The 24,646-nt window shown below is 42.0% G+C and overlaps 1 protein-coding gene and 1 long non-coding RNA gene across 10 annotated transcripts in view, besides 3 other annotated features; one reads left to right on the forward strand and one right to left on the reverse strand.

The window, feature by feature from the left end:
- Window positions 1-24,646, forward strand: part of TENM2 (teneurin transmembrane protein 2) — a 1,285,129-nt gene that overhangs the window by 299,699 nt on the left and 960,784 nt on the right. For all 9 annotated transcript variants that reach the window (XM_047417418.1, NM_001395460.1, XM_017009661.2 and 6 more), the window contains one exon: window positions 6,037-6,336. In XM_047417418.1, coding sequence (XP_047273374.1) covers window positions 6,111-6,336 — 226 coding nt within the window. In that variant the 5' untranslated portion in view covers window positions 6,037-6,110. The remainder of the gene's footprint in view (window positions 1-6,036; window positions 6,337-24,646) is intronic.
- Window positions 15,927-17,126: an enhancer, noted in NCBI's record as "P300/CBP strongly-dependent group 1 enhancer chr5:166721659-166722858 (GRCh37/hg19 assembly coordinates)". NCBI's record gives its function as "activates an origin of replication core promoter dependent on BRD2, BRD4, P300/CBP, MED14 and CDK7 cofactors, with strong dependence on P300/CBP, by STARR-seq in HCT116 cells {active_cell/tissue: HCT116}" and the evidence as "EXISTENCE:reporter gene assay evidence [ECO:0000049][PMID:35650434]".
- Window positions 16,151-16,966: an enhancer, noted in NCBI's record as "OCT4-NANOG-H3K27ac-H3K4me1 hESC enhancer chr5:166721883-166722698 (GRCh37/hg19 assembly coordinates)". NCBI's record gives its function as "activates a minimal SCP1, AML or CMV promoter by ChIP-STARR-seq in primed H9 embryonic stem cells {active_cell/tissue: H9 hESC(primed)}" and the evidence as "EXISTENCE:reporter gene assay evidence [ECO:0000049][PMID:30033119]".
- On the reverse strand, window positions 17,685-24,645 carry TENM2-AS2 (TENM2 antisense RNA 2). The gene is made up of 3 exons (NR_199036.1): window positions 24,396-24,645; window positions 18,736-18,823; window positions 17,685-17,816 (listed from the first exon to the last, which is right to left on the reverse strand). It is a non-coding gene; the product is annotated as a TENM2 antisense RNA 2 (long non-coding RNA).
- Window positions 18,927-19,632: an enhancer, noted in NCBI's record as "OCT4-NANOG-H3K4me1 hESC enhancer chr5:166724659-166725364 (GRCh37/hg19 assembly coordinates)". NCBI's record gives its function as "activates a minimal SCP1, AML or CMV promoter by ChIP-STARR-seq in primed H9 embryonic stem cells {active_cell/tissue: H9 hESC(primed)}" and the evidence as "EXISTENCE:reporter gene assay evidence [ECO:0000049][PMID:30033119]".

Below are 24,646 nucleotides of genomic sequence, written 5' to 3' on the forward strand. Positions count from 1 at the left end.
TAATATAACTTATTAAATATATTCTCTACATACGTTTAGAATCATATCCCAGAGTGTTTTAATTTTTGCTTCAACTATCAAAAAATTCTTAAAAACTCAAAAGGAGAAAGTTTATTACATTTGCTCATATTTTTGCTTTCCACATTCTCGCTAACTCTTGGTATTCCAAGATTCCTCCTTTTATGGTTTCCTTTCTATTTAGAGAACTAACTCTTTAGCTATTTTTAAAAATAGGTCTACTGTTGACCAAGTCTCTTAATTGTCCTCCATCTGATAATTTCTTGAACTTTATTTCATTCCAGAAGGATATTTTCATTGGATGTAGGATTGTAGTTTGAAGATTCTTTTATTTCAGTACTTGAAAAATGTTTGCTACTTTCTAATGACCTCCATGGTTTCTGATAATAAGTCCACTTTCGTTCAGATCATTTGCCCCTATCGATCAGTTGTATTGTTTTTTCTCACCCTTTCAATATTTTTTCACTGCCTTTAGTTTTCAGAAGTTTGACTATGGATGCAATTGGATTTGTCCTGCATGGGACTCACTCAGCTTTTTGAATAGGTATTTTATGCCTTTTGCAAAGTTGGGATATATTCAGCTACATTTTCAGCACTTTTCCAGCCCCTCCTTCTTTCTCCTCCTGGGACTCTGATGACATGAACATTAGGTATTTTATCATCACCCTACAGGTCCCTAAGTTAGTTAGTTAGTTTCTTTCTTTCTATCTTTCTTCCTTCCCTTCTTCCCTTCTTCCTTTCTTTCTTTCTCTTTCTTTCCTTCCTTCCTTTCCTTCCTTCCTTCCTTCCTTCCTTCCTTCCTTCCTTCCTTCCTTCCTTCCTTCTTTCTTCTGTTGTATATATTGGGGTAATTTCTACTGATTATTTGCAAGTTCTCTCATTCTTGTCTTTTTGCCTCCTCTTTGCTGTTAAGTCAATCTACCATCTATCAAGAGTTTTGTTTTGTTTTGGGTTATTGTATATTTCAGTTCTGAAATTTTCACTGGGGTCTTCTTTACATCTTCTATTTGGTTCCTGAGAATTTCTATTTCTTTGATGAGACTTTCTGTTTTCCATTTGTTTCAAGTGTGCCCATAATTGTCCATTGAAGCAATTTCATGATGGCTGCTTATATCAGATAATGCTGACATCTTTGTCATCTCAGCGTTGGCATCTATTGAATGCGTTTTTCCTTTCAGTTTAAGAACTTCCTGGATTTTGGTATGACAAGTGATTTTTTATTGAAACCTGGACATTTGGGATATCATGTTATGAGACTCTGGCTCTTACTTAAACCTTCTATTTTAGCTGATTTTCTCTGACATTGCTGTTGACAGAGGAAGGAGGAACCTACCTCATTACTGCCAAATTCCCTGCTCAGCTTCTGTCAACATTCAAAGGCAGGGAGTTTCTTCTCAGATGCCAAGGGGGAAGCCAACCCAGGGATAGAGGAATGGAAGTTCTGGCTCCCCATGAGACACGCAGTGATACCTCTCTGGGTGGTAGGAGTAGGAATGCTTCAGCACTGCACTACATGGCATCTGCTTACACCGCAGGGGGCAAGAGGACTTACCACAGAAGGATGGTGAAAAGTTCTGACTCTCCTAAACATTCTTCCACACCACTCCAGTGGAGAAGGGGAGGAGTGCCTTGTTTATGCTCAGTGGGGGTGGACGACAGCACCCTGTGAAGAGGAGAGCTTCACTATTTCCTGGAAGGGGCTGAAAGTCCTGGCTCTCCTGTACTGTGGTTGAGGTTGGTGTCTACTTGCAGCCTCATTTTCATGGAAGGGCAAGCTTTCCACTTGGTCTTTGCTTGTGAAGATTGGGGTGGGGCCACAGTTGGTTTCCATGGTGTGTGGCTGGAGTAGGGTAGTCATTGCTTCAACATTTTCTTTCTTGTGAGCCTGCCCCTTTTCATAGTCCTTTGGCTATATAGGAGGCTCACTTTTGTTGTCTGTGCCCATTGAGATCTCTGGGTTGCCAGCTCCATGTCTGGGATATCTATATCTATCTGTCTGTCTATCTGTCTGTCTATCTATCTATCTATCTATCTATCTATCTATCTATCTATCTATCTATCTGTCATCTATCTAATTTCTTTTTGCCATATATATGGCAAAAAGAAACCCCAGGGAACTCACCACTGTTGTTCCTTGGGTCCTGAGGCCCCTCATTGTTCTGCTCTTCTTTCTACTTTTCATAATCTTACATGTTTTATTTATAATGTTCAGGGCTTTTAGCTGTACCTTGTAGGGAAAATAGGGAAAAGTATGTCTATTCCATCTTTCTGGAAGCAGACATTTATAGTCTGCCTGATTTTTAAAGATAAGAATCCAGATTTTCATATATAATTCTTCCATTTTGTCTTTTAATACTGACAATCAATGTTTTTTTTTTTTTGAAATGGAGTCTCACTCTGTTGCCCAGGCTGGAGTGCAGTGGTACGATCTTGGCTCACTGCAACCTCCGCTTTCCGGGTTCAAGCAATTCTCTTCCTCAGCATCTTGAGTAGCTGGGATTACAGGCACCTGCCACCACGCCTGGCTATTTTTTTTTTTTTTTGCATTTTTAGTAGAGACGGGATTTCCTCATCTTGGCCAGGCTGGTCTTGAACTCCTAACCTCGTTATGCACCCTCCTCGACCTCCCAAAGTGTTGGGATTATAGACGTGAGCCACCGCACCAGGCTGACAATCAGTTTTTAAGTAACAGGCAGGCTAAATACAAAATGTCTATTTGCCAACAGTCCGTGAGCTTTGCCTAGCTCCTTAAGGAATTTAGTTTCTCTGACTGAGATTTGTGAATTTTTATCTCATTATATATAATTTTCCATCATTTATCCAGAGGTGATATTGCTGACAAAGTTAACTATCAAGGGCAGAGCCAAGAAAGAGAAATTTATCAGGAAAAGATATCTGAGCAACCACATTAGATGTCAAAATGTCCAAACACTAAAGTTCTTGAACTTTATTAATAGGTTATAAGCCTTGCAGCCGGGCACAGTGGCTCACGCCTGTAATCCCAGCACTTTGGGAGGCCGAGGCGAGCAGATCACCTGAGGTCAGGAGTTCAAGACCAGCCTGGCCAACATGGTGAAACCCCGTCTCTACTAAAAATACAAGAAATTAGCCAAGTGTGGTGGTGGGTACCTGTAATCCCAGCTACTTGGGAGGCAGAGGCAGGAGAATCGCTTGAATCCGGGAGGCAGAGGATGCAGTGAGCGGAGATCACGCCTCTGCACTCCAACCTGGGCAACAAGAGCAAAACTCCATCTCAAAAAAAAAAAAAAAAAAAAAGTTATAAGCCTTTAAGCTTCCACTCTGAGCATGATTTAAAAACTAAAATAAAAGCATACACACGCATACATACACATATGCAGAAAGTCAGTCTACTTTCCCAAGCACAATGCAAATTAGAGAAGATAGGATTTCATGAGTCAGGAACACTGAAGATATTGAAATTAAAAACTAACAGTGAAGCAAGAGAGAAGAAAATCATCAAAGTGACTCAAAATACTCAACTCCCCATAAAACCACCTGTGGCTCCTCAGTGTTGGTACACAGTCTTATATTCTTTCAGTAGATGCTGAAAGTCTTCCTTTATTGGAGCCTAGCTTAAGAATTAGGATTTATTATTAGAACTGTGAGTTTCAGGGATTTATATCGTCATCTTCCTCCTCTGTCTTATGCAAGTCTGTAACTCCTTAGCTAAGAAAAAAACATTTTTAAAATCATTCAGAGGAGAATAAAAACTAATTTTAATTGAGCCCCTATGATGTGTTAGATAGTATATTAGGAATTTTACCACCATGTATATTTTAATTTTTACAAAAACTCTGTGGAGTAGATGCTATTATTTTCTACAAAAACTCTGTGAAGTAGATACTATTATTTTCTATTTCAGCTGATTGAGAAACTGAGTTCAAAAGACCAGGAATAATTTTGACAAGGACTCTGCCTCACCAGTGGTCATGGTAGGACTGGCATCCAATTAAGACTTCAATGGCCATGCTCTTAAATAACCTACAGATTCCAAAATGTTGAAACTGCATGTTAGAAGTTAGGGAAGGGGATTTGGGCATCTAGTAATTGCCTTAATGTGGAGACACTTGAACTGACTATGCCACAGCAAAAACTGACATGCAAAAACACTACTTAATGTCCTCTAAGCAGGTCCTGGGGTCATGACTCTCAAAGGCACTTCTGAACTTGCTGAGTGAGAGACTCCAGAGTCCAGCAAGCTAGCTACTGCTTGTGCTTTCTTATGAGCAACTGAGGCAGCACCAAGACTGTGCTTGAAGATCATAATATTTGTACCCTCTTTTTCTTTTTTTTTTGAGATGGAGTTTCACACTTGTTGTCCAGGCTGGAGTGCAATGGCAGATCTCAGCTCACTGCAACCTCTGCCTCCTGGGTTCCAGCAATTCTCCTGCCTCAGCCTCCCAAGTAGCTGTGATTATAGGTGCCCGCCACCAGGCCCAGCGAATTTTTTTTTTGTATTTTCAGTAGAGACGGGGTTTCACTATGTTGGCCAACCTGGTCTTGAACTCCTAACCTCAATCCACCCGCCTCGGCCTCCCAAAGTTACAGACATGAGCCACCGCGCCCAGCCAATCGTACCCTCTTTTTCATTGCCAAGTGTCAAACAAAATTGTCCACAATTACAGGCAATATTTGATACAGTGTACACGTAGTATAGATTGGGGGAGGGGGTCCCTGAGATCTAGAAGAACTCCTGGTGTGAAAAAACAAGGGAGGGGCTACTTGGCTTCTGGTGTCTGCAGGCAAATGTCATCCACATTGCTGTGCATAGCTATCTTATTATAGTGTGGTAAAATAGCCAAGGAAGAGCAGAGGGGTTCAAAACTATAGATCTGCTCCCCAAGTATTTCCTGACATATTGAGGAGGCAGTGAGCAACAGTAGCCTGGAGAAAAATCATTGCCCTGGCTCTGGGTTGCATTTTCCATTTTAATTAAAATTCGTATTTGTCCATTCTGTCCAGGTCCTGGCCCTGTGGTCTATGCTATTTTGCATGGCAAATGAAATCAATAAGAGCCTATGATTTGGAACTTGGAGGCGCCTAAGCATTTTGGTCATATTTGCTAAGCAGAAGGCGAGTGTTTTCTGAGTGATGTTTGGCATACACTTCCAGTCTGAGGGTGTCAAATGCCAGACTGTGGGGCTCCCTGGTTGCCAGTTCATATGTTAGAGAGGTTCCTTCCCTTCAGCTTTCCTCATTTTTTTTTTCGGTTCTATAGTGGGTATCCCAGCAATGAAGGTGACAGAATGGCTTGGGGTGATTATCAGGTGGCTGTACCAGTAAGACTGCCTGTCAGCAGTTATCATGTTGGTGGGTGACTAGGCAGAAGAAGTAACCAGGTGTGTCCAAGACACAGATCTGCAAGGGAGAAAAAACTGGGAGTTTGCCAAAAGCTCGTTGAAGAAATTGGAGAAAGATTGTTTGCATGTCGAGAACAACTTTTATTCTTATTCTCCAGACAAAGCTAGGAAATGTTATGTTAGTTGAATGTGACTTGGTATCACTACAAAGTATTAATAGCACATATTTATGCCTTATGCTCAAATCTGCTGCTGCACCTTTCTTTGCCTTTTGTTTATTTTTTCTTTTGGAGGGGGGGTGGTATTTGTTTTCTACCCAAGCCTTCTATAGCATAGAGAGAATGTAATTAAAGAAGGATAAGATCAATTTGGCTTTGAATTGCTTCACAGTAAGATCTTGCATTAGAGTGACAGACTGATCATGTCATCTGTGCATACAAAAAATCTAAAGATGAGTATTTGTTGTTACTATTTTTTTCCAAATCTATTAAATTAAACAGCAAGAAAATTAATTTACTGTATCGAGTTCTTCTATTTAGGCTGATTGTTTAGTTAACATTAAACTTTTGCAAAAGAGATTGTGCAGGGCTGACCAAGGCTGCATGTTCATGTTTTCGTCTGAGTCAGAGCATGAATCAGAACTGAAGGCAGCATTTCTTGTAATCACAGTCTTGGGTTTTTTCTTCTATGTTTTCAGGTGGCAAAGTGACAAGTGCCAAAACTCAGGCCTGACTTTTCTGAAAACATCAGCATTCTGCCATATCTGGAATAATGGATGTAAAGGACCGGCGACACCGCTCTTTGACCAGAGGACGCTGTGGCAAAGAGTGTCGCTACACAAGCTCCTCTCTGGACAGTGAGGACTGCCGCGTGCCCACACAGAAATCCTACAGCTCCAGTGAGACTCTGAAGGCCTATGACCATGACAGCAGGATGCACTATGGAAACCGAGTCACAGACCTCATCCACCGGGAGTCAGATGAGTTTCCTAGACAAGGTTTGTAGGGTTTCCCCTGCTGATTTGCTCTCAACTGTCTAACTTACTTGATTTACATGGTTGATGGCTGCTTTTGGAGATCCAGCATGGTGGTTTTTGACAGATGTACCCTACAGCAGACCCTTGGTTCCATAAAGGACATTCCTAACAACATGGTGAATCTCTATCCTGAGAAACCTAAGATTATCTGTGGTTTCTCAAAACTATTCTCCTCATAGTCCACTTACAAGCCTCAAATTTCTATTCCTTTTCCCATTGGGTTTCTCACTTAGATTCTCCTTGAACAAATGGTGTATCTTGGTTAAAACATCTTTGAAATAGTGTATAATAATACGCCCTTTTCCCTCTACTAAAATATGATGTTAATTCTGAGTTATACGTTTCTCTTTTTGTGTTTCAGAGCATGGGTGGCCACATGTATGTTATTTTCCAATTCCACTGATGTAATTATCCCTCCTACTTTCCCCAAGTCTTAATTTTCCTTTCCTTATACTGTTTTGATTTCTTTTGGGAGGAGAATATTTTTCTCCCAAGCACTAACAGTTGGCACTCTCTTCATGTCCAATATTTATAAAGAGTTCTGTTATCACTTCTCCAGGGTTGCTGTAAATGCATCAACACGTAGAATAAAGCAAAGCAGTGCTGAGAGGTGGTGTGACAAAGCTCACTCTCTAGCTCCATGTCTTACTAGTCCCAGCCTCGCTGTGTGTGCACTTTACATTGATGGCTCAGCAAAATTACAGGCAAACGCACAAAACTGTACCGAATGCCTCGGGAAGGGTCACTCTGCCAGTGCCAAAGGGCTAAGCCCTGCTCTGCTAGGTTATTGCCTCATTTGTTTTATAACACTGATTCTTTATTTCTTGTTCCATGTCCTTGGGAGTAAATGTTGCAATGGGTTTAATTTCTAATGAAATAACTTAGCTTGGAATTCTAGTCCTGGTTTCTCAGCTTCCTTAAACTACTTTTTACTACTTTTTATTACAAAATGTGCATGTGTGTATATATGTTATTAATTAGCACTATGCCCACGGTTTATAAATCTACAATCCAGAGGTTGTTGTAGATAACATCTTTTTATACACTCCTGGTTTACCCTAGCTTCAGCTTTTATATTTAACATAGGATTGAAAAAATAAATCAACAGAGAAACTGTTAGAATTGTGTTTCCATTGCCATTATAACTCTTGCAGGATACAATTTTTATTTAATCTTCCTTCTTATTTTCTGAGTTATCTTCATGTAAATGAAACACATGCTGATCCTCCTCCATGAGAAAATGGGGGCAGAGGCTGCTTGAAAATTGCTCTGGATCAAATGCCTTTGATCTGTAACTTCAACAAGTGTTTTTGCTTTGTTAAGTCCTCACCATTCCCCAAATTTCAGGTAGTGGCAATTGGAAAAAAAATATGAAGAATCATGGCTTAATTAACTGAGAGAGAGCTTACATTTCCAATATAATAAAATTGGGACACCTCTCTGTTGTTTCCCAGAGCTGCACTAACACGAGACTCAGATATTTTGAAAGGTGATGCACGTTCAACGTGGTTCAAAGCCTTTCATTTTCTGCTGTAGTTTTTGTCTCATTTACGTTGTTCCTGCATACGTTTTTGTGTCTCATAATTCTGTGCTGAAATGTTCACTTTTCTTCCTAAGTTTTATTAAAAGTGCATCCTGGCTTCTGGATCATTGTGCACTGACATGTAGATTCCAGATGATTGTTGAATTGTAGATAGGCCTGTCACCTTTTCCTTTATTAATATTTACATAAAATAAAACCAAGGACTGGGATTTTATTTTCAAATATACCTTTATTCTTCCTGTTTAGTCTTGTTCCCCTCCATTGATAATAATGGAGGTTGCTTGGCCATATCAAACTCATAGCTTTGCAATTAACAATTCACACATGCCGCATGTTGTTATTGAGCCCATATTTGTTTGTGTAATGTGTTTGCATGAATTAAAAACTGTGCAGGCCAAAAGTAGAAATAAAAAGCATCAGAAGGTATTTGCATATGCAAGTGCAATTCCTTCTGAAGACATCTATGAATTTATGCATGAAAATGTAGTCAGAGTCTGAGTGGATCTACTTTGATGGGTTCTAAAATTGAACTCTGCAGGAAGTAAATAAGCACATATTTAAGGAGAGGAGGAACAGGAGATACAATCTGGCAAGCAGTACATTCAACTTGAAACTTAGCCACTACAGACAGGGTTAAAATAAATTTTACACTCAGTAATAACAATAATTTTTTTAAATGTCATGCATTTCCCATTTTATTTTCTTATTCATGAAATCAAAGAGCAGGATCATCTCCGTACTTATTAGCCTAGAGGTACATTAACAAGGATCATAGTGGGATCATCTCTTGCAGTATTCTTATTTAAAACCCAAGACACTGATCATAAAACAAACACACTTCTCACATACAACCAAGTTTTGCAAACACAGTTGGATGACTCTACAGATGCTCAGGGTGGAAAAGAATTGCCAGCCAGCAAAAGTGATGGGGGCCCAGAGTCAGACCTTGTCCAGTTACCCCAGCTGGCCCATTCAAGTATCAAATGCAAGAACCTGCCATCTCCCAGCAGGAGAAATGAGCCAGGTGTTCCCATGAGAAGTTTACGGAAGCTCGGTCAAATTGTGCCCATCTTTGCTTGCTTTCAACACAGAATCCTCCTCTGCCTTCTTCTATTGTGGCTTCTTCTCTTGAGTATGCAAATCACCTGTCTGGCCTCTATTATGCTGGATCCTCCTGGTGTGAAAGAAGAAAATTGCTGACCTTCGGTCTGTGGCCACTGGAGTAATTAGTAATTAGTAAATGACTAATCCTGCACTAAATAGCATCCTAGTGGTCTGAGAGCTAATGCACCTGACAAAAGTGAGCAGTGGTCTGATCCCTGGTCAGACCCAGCCCTAATCCAACCTGTGAAATAGATGCCACTTTGAATAATGAAGGTCGGCCAAGTTCCCAGGCAGTTTGTACAAGCTTGTCTTTTTTTTTGGACCCCGGAGTTAGGGTGAAGAGCAATGTGATATACAAGACATTCTCCTGGGGCTTAGGAGTCTAGAGTTGGACGTGAATTCTGCTTTTGCATGTGTATGTGCCTGGGACTCTGCTCTGCATTCTGTGTTTCATCAGGATTACTACATGGTTTTTAGGTATATTAAACAAACAACAATAATAACAATGACAAAGGAATAATGGCGAACAGGCGGGCGCGGTGGCTCACACCTGTAATCCCAGCACTTTGGGAGGCCGAGGTGGGCGGATCACGAGGTCAAGAGATGGAGACCATCCTGGCTAACACGGTGAAACGCTATCTCTACTAAAAATACAAAAAATTAGTCGGGCGCGGTGGCGGGCGCCTGTAGTCCCAGCTACTCAGCAGGCTGAGGCAGGGGAATGGCGTGAACCTGGGAGGCGGAGCTTGCAGTGAGCGGAGATCGCGCCACTGCACTCCAGCCTGGGCGACAGAGCGAGACTCCGTCTCAAAAAAAAAAAAAAAAGAAAAAGAAAAGAATAATGGCGAACATTTGTTGAGTAGTTTGTGTCAGGAGCCAATCTAAGCATTTTGCTTGCATTAACTCAGTTAATGCTCACAACAGCTTTGCGAGGTGGATACTATCACTCCCTTGTTTACTTATATTAGGAAACTGAGTCAGAGAGAGATTAAATAAGTCATCCAGGTTGAAAACATGGAAAGAGCCGGAGATAGGCTTCAAACCTAAGGGGCTGTATTCAAGACCTGTGTTTTAAACCAATGTGTTTCATCACGTCCCAAAAAAATAAGTAAACAAAACAAAAATATCTTTAAATCCTTAGTCAAAGGCTGGGAAGGATCTATGAAATTCACTTTCTAAGCCTTTTAAGAATCCATACCTTTAAATCTTTCTTAATGATACAGGAACTGTAGTTAACAGTATTGATTGAACATATAATGTTCACCACCAGCTCCCAGCCCTGCTGATCTAATTCCTGTTCTCATCCATTCACCTCCATCTCACAATCATTCCTGACTCTCCAGAAGCATTCCTGCCTACAATACCTCTCTACCAACCACCACTGTAGGAAAACGTTTCGACTGTAGGGATGTGTACTGGGCTGTCAGCACTGATTCTATGCCCTCCCTTATGGTCATCACCTTTTTGCACAAACTCTCAACCTGGAACACTAACAAAGAAAGGTGTCACTATCTAAATGATATTGCTCAGGTAAGTAGAACTGACTTGTTTCTGTGCTAACCAAGACCCAGTGGGCCAGAGAGTTCAGCCAGCCCTCTTATTCCTCAAAAAGTGCTTCTTTCCAGTTAGCAGTTCAAGTCTCTCGAGAGGGGGCCAAGATTGAATTCTTTCTCTGTACGTCAGGCTGGCTGTCTAGGTCAAGGTCGAAGAAAAAATTGGGGGAAGATTGAATTTTTGAAAGTATGCTTGCATCAGTTCTCTCAATCAGTTAAAGCAAAGAGATAAATCCTACCGGCTATTTGATGTGCTTTAAAAAGCATGTAAACAAAAATCAACACACATACACATTTTAGGCTAGGTTTGGTTTTGGTACTCCATAAACTAATTCTTGCTCCTATGATCTTTAAAATAATGTGGGCAATAACTTTTGCTCTGTATAATTTGGCATAATGTACATTTAAACAGTGTTAATGAGCTGAAAACTCATGAACCACTAGTAAGCTAGAGTATTACCTGCAATGATTCAATTAACTTATATAATAATTGTGGGAATACTTTGGAAATTGTAAATATTTCTTTCTATGCCTTTGTCTTAAAATAGCCATTTTTCCACTATACCTAAATAATAATTAAAAGGTTCTAGTTTGAAAACCTCAGCACTTTAATTTACCTACAAAGAATACCTTGTAGATGTTAGTAAAGTTCAAGAGTTTCTGTGGTCAGTATCTTGAAGGCTGAAATGTACCTTGAGAAGATTGCTTTCCATTTATTTTCCCACTTCCAGGTAGGACTTCTTTTCATAACTCAACTAAGAATAACACAATGCCTTCTAGTCTTTGGTTGTATTGTTTTTTCTTTTTTAAAAAATATCCTTAGAAAAAGAGAATCTACAACTTTTCAATGTTATCTTTTTGCTGGATAACTTGAATCCTTGTTGTTTTATATGGGAGGCATATGTGAAAAGAGTAATGAATGAAGACTCTGGAGTTCAACTTTGTCCATATCCCAGTGCTGATGGGTACCGCTAGTGTGATCTTGATCAAATTCTAGAACACAGACTGAGTCTCATTTTCTCCATTTGTAAAAGCTCTACCATATATAGGTATTGGGTTTATTTCTTACAATTGTGTATTTATTAGATCTGGACATTATCTTTCTTTTAATAAGTGCTAGTAGTTATCGTTACAGTTATTGTCACTTTAACCCTACTACCAGCAGAAGTGGCGATCACTTGCTCTCCGACCCTAATAATACTTTGGTGCAACAGAAATTTTTCTTTCCTCTTGATTTGTTTCCCATGACTTGCAAAAATTCTGACATTTTCAAACTCAGAACTTTTTTCCAGCTTGTTCATAGAGTGTGTCTGACTCTCTATCCACCATACATTTCTTTCCCAAAGATGAACATAACTCATACATTATTTTCCTATTTTTAGACAGGAATGAAAGATACTATCTAACAACTGTCAACTGATGCCAACACACTGTAAGAGAGTTGCTAGTCAGACAATTTTACAAGTCAAAAAAAAAAAAAATAGATTGGAAAAACTGCTCTAAGGTAGTGTCATAGGATACAAACACTTTTTTTAAGTGTGCATTTTATGGCATGTAAATCCATACATATTTCAGAAATGAGTTTAAGAGTAGATTTAATCCATATAAATGCTGGATAAAATTAATCCATTTTCGTCACTTTATGGGCAATAATTTGGAGTCTATGTCAGAGAGTCAATGTTTTGGATTTTCATCATTGATGCTTACTACCCTTCTAGGAATATGTCTATATTTTTTGATAACTTTAGCCATTTGGCAACTATCTTCATGTTTGCCCAACTGTTATCCTCCCAGTAATTATCTATTGTCAATTCTGTGTTCAACTTTATATTTAACTTTCTTTGAATTACCTTCCTTCTCCTGCTCTTTCTCAGTGGAAATTCCCCAGAGTTTCACCCTAATCCTATACTCTTCTTCTCCATAGCACTTTCTTTAGAACACTCTTATTCATATGACTTCAGTGGCCACTATTTCTGCTTCTGAAAACTTTTTCATTTACAAACAATAGTATCCCAGTTCAAATTAGCTTACTTGAAAGGGTAATGTTTTGGCAGACATCACCAGTAATCTAAGAAAGCATCTGCCCTCACACTTATCATCTCTCACAAGATTCTCATTCTCATATATTGGCTTTATTCTTTGGAGCGATCTCTTTGAAGATGTCTGCTGATTACCCCCACTCTCACATTTTCTCATTTGGTAACATCACTGGAAAGAGTCCCTTGTTTATATATATGGTTGGGGTTTATTTTGCTGTTTTCAGCAGAATATTCTCCAGGTAGATATTCAGGCTGGCCTGGCATGGGACACATGCTGATGATACCTATATCTACCATTTTACGGCTGTAGCTGGCCACATCTTGGATGTAGGTTTATCCTGTGCTTGGAGATAGCTTACAGTGAGTGCCTCCTAAACCTGATGGAATGAATTCCGCACAGGAAAGAAAGACTCTGATAGCTGCAGTAGACTGTAAACACTAACTGGCCTGATAACAAATGCTCCTAATGCTAGTGAGGCTGAAGTTTAAGGCTTCCTTTCTGTAGTCTATCTAAGCTGTATTGGTCCATTCTCACACTGCTAATAAAGACATACCTGAGACTGGGTAATTTATAAGGAAAAAGAGGTTTAATGGACTTACAGTTCCACATGGCTGGGAGGCCTCACAATCATGGTAGAAGGCAAAGGAGGAGCAAAGGCACATCTTACATGGCGGCAGGGAAGAGCACCTGTACAGAGGAACTGCCCTTCATAAAACCATCAAATCTCATGAGACTTATTCACTATCATGAGAACAGCATGGGAAAAACTTACCCCCATGATTCAATTACCTCCCACCAGGTCCCTCCCATCACACATGGGGATTATGGGAGCTACAATTCAAGATGAGATTTGAGTGGGGACACAGCCAAACCATATTATAAGCTTCACATCCACTTTGCTACTGGGCCTTGGAATATTTTATCTTTACATATCCAAGTGGGAAATTTAATTGTCTTTCCCTCAAAATTTGTTTCCGTTTTTCATTTCTCAGCTTTGGGGAATGGTATCACAGCCTTGCATTTTAGATAAAGTCTTCCAAGCCTCTTTTTTCTTGATCCTTTATATTGATGTTTACCACATCACACCTATTATTCCTGCTTCATTTATCTCAGTTTCAAGTTTCTCATTCCATGGGCAGCTTCCAATATTTCAACACTGGACAATTGCTTGAGCATTTCAATCGCCTCCTTCCCTAATTCTTTCCTCTGGCATGTTTTCCATAACATGGATAGTTTTGAGTTTTTAAAACACGGCCTTATTTTTCCCACTTCCCTCAAATTGATTCAAAAATATTTCAGGGGTTCCTAAAAGGCAACTGCAATTTGTGGGACACAACAATAAAAAAAGGTAAACATGGTTTCTAACCTCACAGAACCTGGCAGTTTTAAAATGGTAAGATATAACAGATATGTAACTAGGTACCTTATAAAAAACACTACAAAAGGGATAATATTGGATGGTTTTGGAGAGACCTCTAACCCAGATTTATGTCCGGAATGGCATCCCAGAAATTGTGGCATTCCTGCATACATTTGAGGGATGGGGAGGAGGTTGGACAATCAAAGAGGCAAGACAGTGTTCAGGCAAGAGTCATGGCATGTGCAAAGGCCCAGAGGTGACTACATTTTGTTGTTCCAAGGATGTCAAAGAAGTGTAGGTTGGATGAGCTAGAGTGGCAGAGAGAGACAGTCATGAAGACATTTCAGGGAGACAGTGCTGGTTTCAGCTTGTGGAGAGAGGAAAGATGGTCAGTTAGAGGTTGTGTCTTCATCTAAGCAAGGGAGCCTGGTGGCCTGAACTAGGATAGCAGAGATTGTTTGAGAAATGTTATTGAGATAAAAAGAGTGTTGGCTTTTTTGTTTGTTTGTTTGTTTTAAGGCAGAGCTTCACTCTTGTTGCCCAGGCTGGAGTGCAATGGTGCAATCTCTGCTCACAGCAATCTCCGCCTCCCAGGTTCAAGCGATTCTCCTGCCTCAGCCTCCCAAGTAGCTGGCATTACAGGGATGCGTCACCATGTCCGGCTAATTTTTTTTTTTTTTTTTTTTTTGTATTTTTTAGTAGAGACGGGGTTTCTCCATGTTGGTCAGGCTGTTCTCAAACTCCTGATCTTAGGTGATCCACCCGCCTCGGGCTTCCAAAGTGCTGGGATTACAGGCATGAGCCACCGCACCTGGCCCCTGATTGTTGGCTTTTTAGGATACCTTAAAAGTGGAGGCAGATATACTGTTCTGAGACTCCTGGGCATTGACTGCTTTTTTCTCTTGGAAAGAGAATATTGCCTTTCTGATGCTGAGTTTACTTAAAGAGCCAGGAAAGGTCAACGCTTGCAAATAACCCCTTAAGTGGAAGTACATAGATTGTTAGTTCAGGTTCTTCTGGAATGTTGGACATAAACCTAAGTATAAAAAATGTAGTGTTGCAACAAAAATTTGGATTTTTTTTTAAAATTTGTTAGATTCCTGCCTATGCAAAGGGTAGCACCAGCTACAGAGCACTTCATACGGATCCCAGGCAAGGAAAAAATAGAGAAGAGATTATGCTGCATCTGCCCCTTCTCTGTGTGGACCATGATACCATTGTTTGTTCTCTATCATGGACTAAATAAATCAGAGACTCTAAGTAGATGTGAGTTCTGTGTGTGTGTGTGTGTGTGTGTGTGTGTTCAACTGAGTGTGTGTTTTATCCCTGCCAATGGTAACTTTATTTGCAAAGCTGAGTACGTTTGGAAGATAGAAACAATACTTTCTTGCAACTGATGGGGTAAGCAGGCTAAGCAAAAAAAGAAAAGTCAAGGACATCCCTGAAGTTTCTGGTTATGGCAACTGACAAGATGTTACCATCAATCCCCAGGGCTTGAGACAGAGGATGGCCTGGTTTGTGGGTTAGATGGGATAGGTAACTGTCAACCTTTTGAATTGGAGGTATCCTGTAGGCTCTCCATGTGCAGATGTCTAATAGGCTGTGGCTGTCCAGTCTTGAAATTCTGGAGAGAGGCTTGAGCTGGATAAAGATTTAGCAGTTGACAGCTAATAATTTCATGGGACTTGGTATGATCATCTGAGAAAAAAATGTACAAGGAAGAGAAATAAGAAGTTCACATGACAGTGCAGGTACTCAAGGAATAGGAAGGGGAAGAAAATCCTGTGAAACAAGTGGGGGAAAAAAAAGAACACCTTACTTTCCTTTACATGTGCTATTCACTCAGTGCAAACTTGACCTGTCATTCCACAGGGCGAGTTTTATTCCCCATCCCACCACTCAGAGTTGACCTCCTTTATGTCCCCTAAATCAGAGGCCACAAAATTAATGTACATAGGACATATTCGGCCCCTAGATAGGTTTTATTTGGCCTATGGATTTCTTTAGAATTTTGAATCAAGTGCCAGTCTATTCACATTTCAGTTTGCCACAGGCCCCGTTTCTGCCTTCTGTCTTACACCAGTCCTATTCCTCTCAGGCCTTTATTTTATATGCCAAACCTCTGAAAGCTCTCACAATTGCAAAAATATCACGGATCTTCCTATGTCTATTTTTTTCTTGTGGAATACCTCTCTGCCTATTGCAAATCTATTCATCCCACAGGGTGTGACCTGTGGTTCACGTCTTTGGTGAAGCTTCCTGCCCTCTGAATTTTTATAGCCCTTAATGGGTTGTTATTGTTGTTATTATTCTCTTGATGAGTGACTCAGCATACATAGCACATGGATTCTATGACTCCTATGAATAGGGAAATAAACAAAGGGCTCTGCAGTTTTGTGCTCTGACTCATAGATGCAACTACCAGGGAATTTGCTCTTTTTAGTGGCTTGTTTCCTGTTCTAATGAGAAAAATGGAAAGCACAGCTCAGAAACAGACTCTACTTAGAAAATGTGGATGGTATGTCTGTCCAGCATGACAATGTCAAATCTCACATTTTGAAATGCCAACTTACAACTTTTCTGCCATTTACTCTGACACTAGCATGTTGAGTTGCACTAACAGTTCCTTTTTCTGATTATTGGTGATGCAATATTATCAGCTTCTCTTGGCTGGTGCCACATGTTGCAGTTAAGTCTCTGCAGCTGTCTACTCTGCGGTATGTATAGGAGGGCTTTGGTGCATATGTGATCTGTGCAGGGATGCCTTTCTGACCAGAACCTTTGGGAAAACTGCACAGTGAGAGACGGAAGAATTGCCAGGATCAGCCTTACCATGCTTTACAATCTGTGTCCAGGAGTGGCACTGCCCCACCCACTGATGAATCATCACACTGATATTATCAAAGGAGACATTACATTTTCAATGTCATGTTTTAGGTTTATAATTTAATTTTCAGCTCTGGCAATTCCAGAAGCATCCCTAGGGACATATGAAGAGGAAGGGGCTAGCGTGTACTCGAAATGAATACATGTTCATTTCTTGAGCACCTTAATTGGCATGCACATCTCACAAGCTCCCTTTTTCTCTGCTGCAGCCAAACTCTCTCACACCACCAAGTTACTCAATATTCCTCCTGCACTGACTGCCTTCCTTTCCACTCAACCTCAAGTCAGATCTACTTTAGTAATAAATCTCTGCTGGGAATGATCAGAACAAATACTGAGTGTGCACCACAATATTAAAAATAAGTGTAATATAGACTTATTTAATAAGGTCCAACAGACTTTTATAACATTTGGAATATTTTACCAAAGGTACTATCAGCATTATGTTTAATGCATTTTCTCCAAGACAGAAAAATCTTTTCAAGAATGAGGGGGGAAAAGAAAAAAAACACAAAACACAGAGAAAAGTCAGATGGGCTCTGATGCATTCTCACTCAACTAAATCTGTGATTCTCCTTCCTTTCCCAGATCTTTCTCTTCGGCCAGACCCACAAAATGTGAAGCCTCTTTGTGTTCACCCTGATTTATGAATAGTCGGCACTGGGCAATTGCGGTCCCAGTGGGATACATTTCAGTTTAAAAATAGTCTGAAGCACTTTCTTTCAAATTCCCACATGTCCACTGCCACCTCATAATATGTGCTTCTCCTTCTGTCCTTGTGCAGTTAAAGTCGGATCCATGTACGGGGAATGAAAGCACTGAATTTGTTTGTAGCACTTTGAACCAAAATGGTGAATTTATTTAGAGAGTAGTTCCAGCGAGTTAAGTTAGTTTCAATGGACATATTGGCTGCAACTGGAGCATTGATGGAAGGGAGGCATACTACTTTAATGTCCTCAAAAAGAAAAAAAGAAAGAAAGAAAATAAATAAATAAAATCCAGTCAACTGCAGGATAAGTATCCATAGGCCAAACAAATCCCTCTCAAAATGACTGCAAGTTCAGGTGACACCAACAGCTGTCAAAAGACCCCTGTTTGCCTGGCGGCAGCTTTGGGTTCAAATTCTTCCTAGTTTACAGTGACATTTCATTTAATGCTTGCACTCTGACTCCATTTGTCTGCCCTGCAAAAGCTCTGCAAAGAGCTGACCCAGTTAACACTTTCTGTTTCACAAACCCAGAGACTGAACAGCAGGGAGGCTACAGCAAAGTGCTGAGTTGTCCTAGCTGAGCAGTAAGGGGACAATGACTGTGGCCACAGTCCATGTCATTTTTGTTTCTAGACCAGTGGTGACTCATTGGACTCTCCTGGGCAGTTCTGAAAAGTCTGCATGTCCTAGTCTCACCCAAGACCAATTAAATCCCAATCTGTGGCAGGGAGGACCCAGGCATCAGCATTTTTTAAAACCAAATCTTTATATAAATAAAATGTCTCAAGGGATTTGAGTGCAAAAGGACATACTCTATAGAATATAATATTTCTTTGGTAACTGATGACATTTCAAGCTTATAGGACCTCATACTTAGCATAGTGACTTAGAATCTCACTTTTCACTCAGAAGCTCATAATAGAGTCTTTTGATTCTTCAGGGGTTTAGGTTAATAAATGCAATATAACCGAAGCTCATTATGTAGTGTTTCTAAACCACTATCGAGTAATCATTTGCTGGTGTATTAGGCATTGCAAGCCCTTGGTGCCATAGTCCATCTCCTTGTTTCTGAGTCAGAAGAAGCAGGTGGACTGATTCTTCTGGCACCCCTGCTTCTCAGCCCACATTGTGTCAAACATTAAAAGTGAGGTTTTAATTTGAGTACCTGGCTTGGAATGTAACAGGTAACAGTTGATTATGTTAATTGATCCAACGTCTTCAAAGTCAAAGCAGTAATGATGAATCTGGACCTACTATTGGAAGAAAATGATCAAGTTACATTTATGTTGAAAGATGAAGTCAGTAGGGAAAGATTCTGTTAAAATAGTGGGTTTCATGCGCATCCATGTGAAGAGACCACCAAACAGGCTTTGTGTGAGTAACAAGGCTGTTTATTTCACCTGGGTGCAGGCGGGCTGAGTCTGAAAAGAGAGTCAGCAAAGGGAGATAGGGGTGGGGCCATTTTATAAGATTTGGGTAGGTAAAGGAAAATTACAGTCAAAGGGGGGTTGTTCTCTGGTGGGCTGGAGTGGGGGTCACAGGGTGTTCAGTAGGGGAGCTTTTGAGCCAGGATGAGCCAGGAGAAGGAATTTCACAAGATAATGTCATCAGTTAAGGCAGGAACAGGCCATTTTCATTTCTTTTGTGGTGGAATGTCATCAGTTAAGGCAGGAACCGGCCATCTGGATGTGTACGTGCAGGTCACAGGGGATATGATGGCTTAGCTTGGGCTCAGAGGCCTGACATTCCTGTCTTCTTATATTAATAAGAAAAATAAAATGAAATAGTGGTAAAATGTTGGGGAAAATTTTTGGGGGTGGGATGGAGAGATAATGGGCGACGTTTCTCAGGGCTGCCTCGAGCGGGATTGGGGCGGCGTGGGAACCTAGAGTGGGAGAGATTAAGCTGAAGGAAGATTTTGTGGTAAGGGGTGATATTGTGGGGTTGTTAGAAGAAACATTTGTCATTTAGAATTATTGGTGATGGCCTGGATATGGTTTTGTATGAATTGAAAAACTAAATGGGGCCGGGTGCGGTGGCTCACGCCTGTAATCCCAGCACTTCGGGAGGCCGAGGGGGGCGGATCACGAGGTCAGGAGATTGAGACCATCCTGGCTAACACGGTGAAACCCCTTCTTTACTAAAAATACAAAAAATTAGCCGGGCGAGGTGGCGGGCGCCTGAAGTCCCAGCTACTCGGGAGGCTGAGGCAGGAGAATGGCGTAAACCCCAGGGGGCGGAGCCTGCAGTGAGCCGAGATCGTGCCACTGCACTCCAGCCTGGGCGACAGCGAGACTCCGTCTCAAAAAAACAAACAAACAAACAAAAAACCCAAAAACTAAATGGAATAAGAGAAGGAGAAAAACAGGTATTAAAGGTCTAAGAATTGGGAGGACCCAGGGCATCTAATTAGAGAGTGCCTAAGGAGATTCAGCATAGTCCTGCCAGCAAAGATTATTTATTTACTTTAAGAGTTAAGAGTGGCAGTTTGGGGATAGCACGAGGAGGTATCAGCTGTGATGGCTTGGAGAAACAGTGTAAACTGGCAGTGTAAACAAGAGCAGGGCATGTATGAGTAGTTGAGAACGGTGAATAGGAGTGTGACTAGACAGAAGATAGTAGGGATGACAAGTTTTTGGGGGCACAGTCCGAGTTGGTCTGGTGTCTGGACTGAGACTGGGGCTTAATAAAAAGGAGCGTCCATACAGGAGCTCAAATGGGCTGTACCCTGTAGCATTCCGAGGACAGGCCTGACTTCTGAGAAGGGAAAGTGGTAAAAGTATTGTCCAGTCCTTTTTAAGTTGGTGGCTGAGCCTGGTGAGGTGTGTTTTTAAAGGACCTTTAGTCCGTTCTACCTTTCCTGAAGACTGAGGACTGTAAGGGATATAAAGGTTTCACCGAATACCAAGAGCCTGAAAAACTGCTTGGCTGATTTGACTAATAAAGGCTGGTCTGTTAACAGACTGTATAGAGGTGGGAAGGCTAAACTGAGGAATTATGTCTGACAGAAGGAAAGAAATGACTGCAGTGGCCTTCTCAGACCCTGTAGGAAAGGCCTCTACCTATCCAGTGAAAGTGTCTACCCAGACTAAGAGGTATTTTAGTTATCTGACTGGGGACATGCTGATTAAAGCTAATTTGCCAGTCCTGGGTGGGGGCAAATCCTCGAGCTTGATGTGTGTAGGGAAGGGAGGGGGCCTGAATAATCCTTGAGAAGTAGTAGAACAGCAGATGGAACACTGAGAAGTTATTTCCTTGAGGATAGATTTCCACGATGGAAAGGAAATGAGAGGTTTTAAGAGGCAGGCTAGTGGCCTGTACTATAGCATAGCCTGCCTTTGCTGGTGTGTGGCGATTAGGCCTGGTGGAACTGCCATCAATAAACTAAGTGTGATCAGGGTGAGGAACAGGAAAGAAGGAAATATGGGGAAATGGGGTGAACGTCAGGTGGATCAGAGAGATGCAGTCATGAGGGTCAGGTGTGGTATCTGGAATAATGTGGGAGGCTGGATTGAAGTCCGGGCCAGGAACAATGGTAATTATGGGAGACTCAACAAAGAGTGAGTACAGCTGAAGGAGCCAGGGAGCAGAAAGTATATGTGTCAGGTGGGAGGAAGAAAAGATTTTGGAAGTTACGAGAAATGTAGAGAGTGAGTTGAGCATAGTTTGTGATTTTTAGGGCCTTTAAAAGTATTAAAGCAGCAGCAGCTGCTGCACGCAGACATGAGGGCTAGGCTAAAACAGTAAGGTCAAGTTGTTTGGACAGAAAGGCTATCGGGTGCGGTCCTGGCTCTTGTGTAAGGATTCTGACCACACTAACCATGCCTAGGAAGGAAAGGAGTTGTTGTTTTGTAAGGGATTGAGGTTTGGGAGATTAGTCGGACATGATCAGCAGGGAGAGCACGTGTGTTTTTATGAGAATTATGCCGAGATGGGTAACAGATGAGGATGAAATTTGGGCTTGACTGAAGTAAAGGGGACTGTCTGTGAAGCCTTGCGGCAGTACAGCCCAGGTAATTTGCTGAGCCTAATGGGTGTCAGGGTCAGTCCAAGTGAAAGCGAAGAGAGGCTGGGATGAAGATCCAGAACAGAATAATGCGTTGTAGAGGGAGGTATTGAGGATAGGAGAGTATATGAGTTTAGCACCATGGGGTGGATAGGCAAAACAATTTGGTTGATAAGGCACAGATCCTGAACTAACCTGTAAGTCTTGTCTGGTTTTAGGACAGGTAAAATGGGGGAATTGTAATGAGAGTTTATAGGCTTTAAAAAGCCATGATGTAACAGGCGAGTGATAACAGGCTCTAATCCTTTTAAAGCGTGCTGTGGGATGGGATATTGGCATGGAGGGGGGTAAGAGTGATTAGGTTTTAATGGGATGGTAAGGGGTGCATGATTGGTCGATAAGGAAGGAGTAGAGGTGTCTTATACTTGTGGGTTAAGGTGGGGAGATACAAGGGGAGGATATGAAGGAGGCTTTGAACTGAGGGAAAAGGCAGCAATGAGGTGTGGCTGTAGCCCAGGAATAGTCAGGGAAGCCCATAACTTAGTTAAAGTGTCTCGGCCTAATAAGGGAACTGGGCAGGTGGAGATAACTAAAAAGGAGTGCTTAAAAGAGTATTATCTAAGTTGGCCCCAGAATTGGGGAGTTTTAAGAGGTTTAGAAGCCTGGCCGTCAATACCTACAACAGTTATGGAGGCAAGGGAACAGCCCTTGAAAAGAAGGTAATGTGGAGTGGGTAGCCTCCTTATTGATTAAGAAGGGGACGGACTTACTTTCCACTGTGAGAGTTACCCGAAGCTCAGCATCCGTGATGGCCTAGGGGGCTTCCGAGGTGATCGGGCAGCGTCAGTCTTCAGCCGCTAAGCCGAGAAGATCTGGGAAGGAGTCAGAAAGCCTTGGGCCAGAGTTCCAGGGGCTCTGGGAGTGGATGCCAGGTGAGTTGAACAGTCCGATTTTTCAGTGGGGTCCCACACAGATGGGACATGGCTTAGGAGGAATCCTGGGCTGCGGGCATTCCTTGGCCTGGTGGCCAGATTTCTGGCACTTGTAGCAAGCTCCTGGGGGAGGCAGTTCTGGAGGAATGCCTGGCCACTGTGGTTTAGGCATTTGGAAGTTCTTGTGTGCTGGAGATGTGGCTGGGGTTTGTCTCACAGTGGAGGCAAGGAATTGCAACTCAGAAATATGTTGCCACTTGGCTGCCTCTACTCTATTATTGTACACCTTGAAGATGAGGTTAAGTAAGTCCTGTTGTGGGGTTGGAGGGCTGGAATTTAATTTTTGGAGTTTTATTTAATGTTGGGAGCAGATTGGATAATAAAATGTATATTGAGCATAAGACGGCCTTTTGACCTTTTAGGGTCTAGGGCTGTAAAGCGTCTCAGGGTTGCTGCCAAACGAGCCATGAACTGGGCTGGATTTTTATATTTGATGAAAAAGAGCCTAAACGCTATCTGATTTGGGATAAGGAAAAAGGAGCATTAACCTTGACTATGCCTTTAGCTCCAGCCACCTTTTTAAGAGTAAATTGCTGGGCAGGTGGGGGAGGGCTAGTCACAGAACAAAACTGTAAGCCGGACCGGGTGTGAGGAGGGGAGGTGATAAAAGGATTATAGGGTGGAGGAGTGGAGGCTGAGGAAGAATTGGGACCTAGCTCGGCCTGGCAAAGAGGAGAGAGATCAGATGGGTCTGTAGAAAAGGAATATTAGAAAGACTCACGACGCTTGGGGTTGGGACTGAGGGGACAGGTGGGAGGGAAAGAAGGAAGATTTGGGACAAGTTGCATTGGGAACAGAGACTATGGAGGGACTGATGTGTAAAAGAATGCCTGGACATCAGGCACCTCAGACCGTTTGCCTATTTTGTGACAAGAATTACTTAGATCTTGTAGGATGGAAAAATGGAAAGTGCCATTTTCTGGCTATTTGGAACTACTGTCGAGTTTATATTGGGGTCAAGTGGCATTATAGAAGAAAATAAGGCATTTAGGTTTTAGGTCAGGTGTGAGTTGAAGAGGTTTTAGGTTTTTAAGAACACAGGCTAAGGGAGAAGAAGGAGGAATGGAGGGTGGAAGGTTGCTCATAGTGAAGGAGGCAAGCCCAGAGAAAAGAGAGAGTAGAGACACAGAGGAAAGGGGTTTGGGGGTTCTTACCCTCCAGAAAAGGAGGAAAGGGGTCAGGGTGGGGAAATAAGGGGTTGGGGTGCAGAGATAAGAGGTCGGGGCATGGAAATAAGGGATCAGGGTGCAGAGATAAGAGGTCGGGGCGTGGAAATAAGGGATGGGGCACAGAGATAAGAGGTCAGGGCGTGGAAAAGGATCAGGGTGCAGAGATAAGGGGTCAGGGCATGGAAATAAGGGACTGGGGGGTTCTTGCACCCTAGAAAAGTGGTACTTGCCACTAAGGGTGAAGGAGAAGGGGTTGGGGGGTTCTTACTGCCCAGAAAAGCGGAGAAGGGGTATTGACATGGAGAGAAGGGGTTGTGGTTCTTGCCCCTCCCCCAGAAAAGCGGGACTTGCCGCTAAGGGTGAAGGACCAAGGCAGGCATCCCTGCATGGTCAGACACCTCTGAAACATGGGTAAATAATCAGAGAGGTGTCCCTGCAGTGATTAAACACCAAGGGAAGGCTGCCTTCCCGAGTCCGTGAGCAGTGCTGGAGTTTTGGGTCCATGGATAAAACGTGTCTCCTTTGTCTCTACCAGAAAATGAAAGGAATTGAAATTAAGAGAAGGGAGAGATTGAAGGGTGGTGCCAAAATTGAAAGGAGAAGATGGTTGACGGTTAGTGAGAGAGGTTGGAGAAGAGAGTAAGAAGAGGCCGCTTACCCGATTTAAAATTGGTGAGATGTTCCTTGGGCTGGTGGGTCTGAGGACCTGAGGTCGTAGGTAGATCTTTTTCACGGAGCAAAGAGCAGGAGGACAGGGGATTGATCTCCCAAGGGAGGTCCCCCGATCCCAGTCACTGCACCAAATTTCATGGGCGTCTGTGTGAAGAGACCACCAAACAGGCTTTGTGTGAGCAACAAGGCTGTTTATTTCGCCTGGGTGCAGGCGGGCTGAGTCTGAAAAGAGAGTCA

This window comes from Homo sapiens, chromosome 5, assembly GCF_000001405.40.
Source record: "Homo sapiens chromosome 5, GRCh38.p14 Primary Assembly".
NCBI lineage: Eukaryota > Metazoa > Chordata > Mammalia > Primates > Hominidae > Homo > Homo sapiens.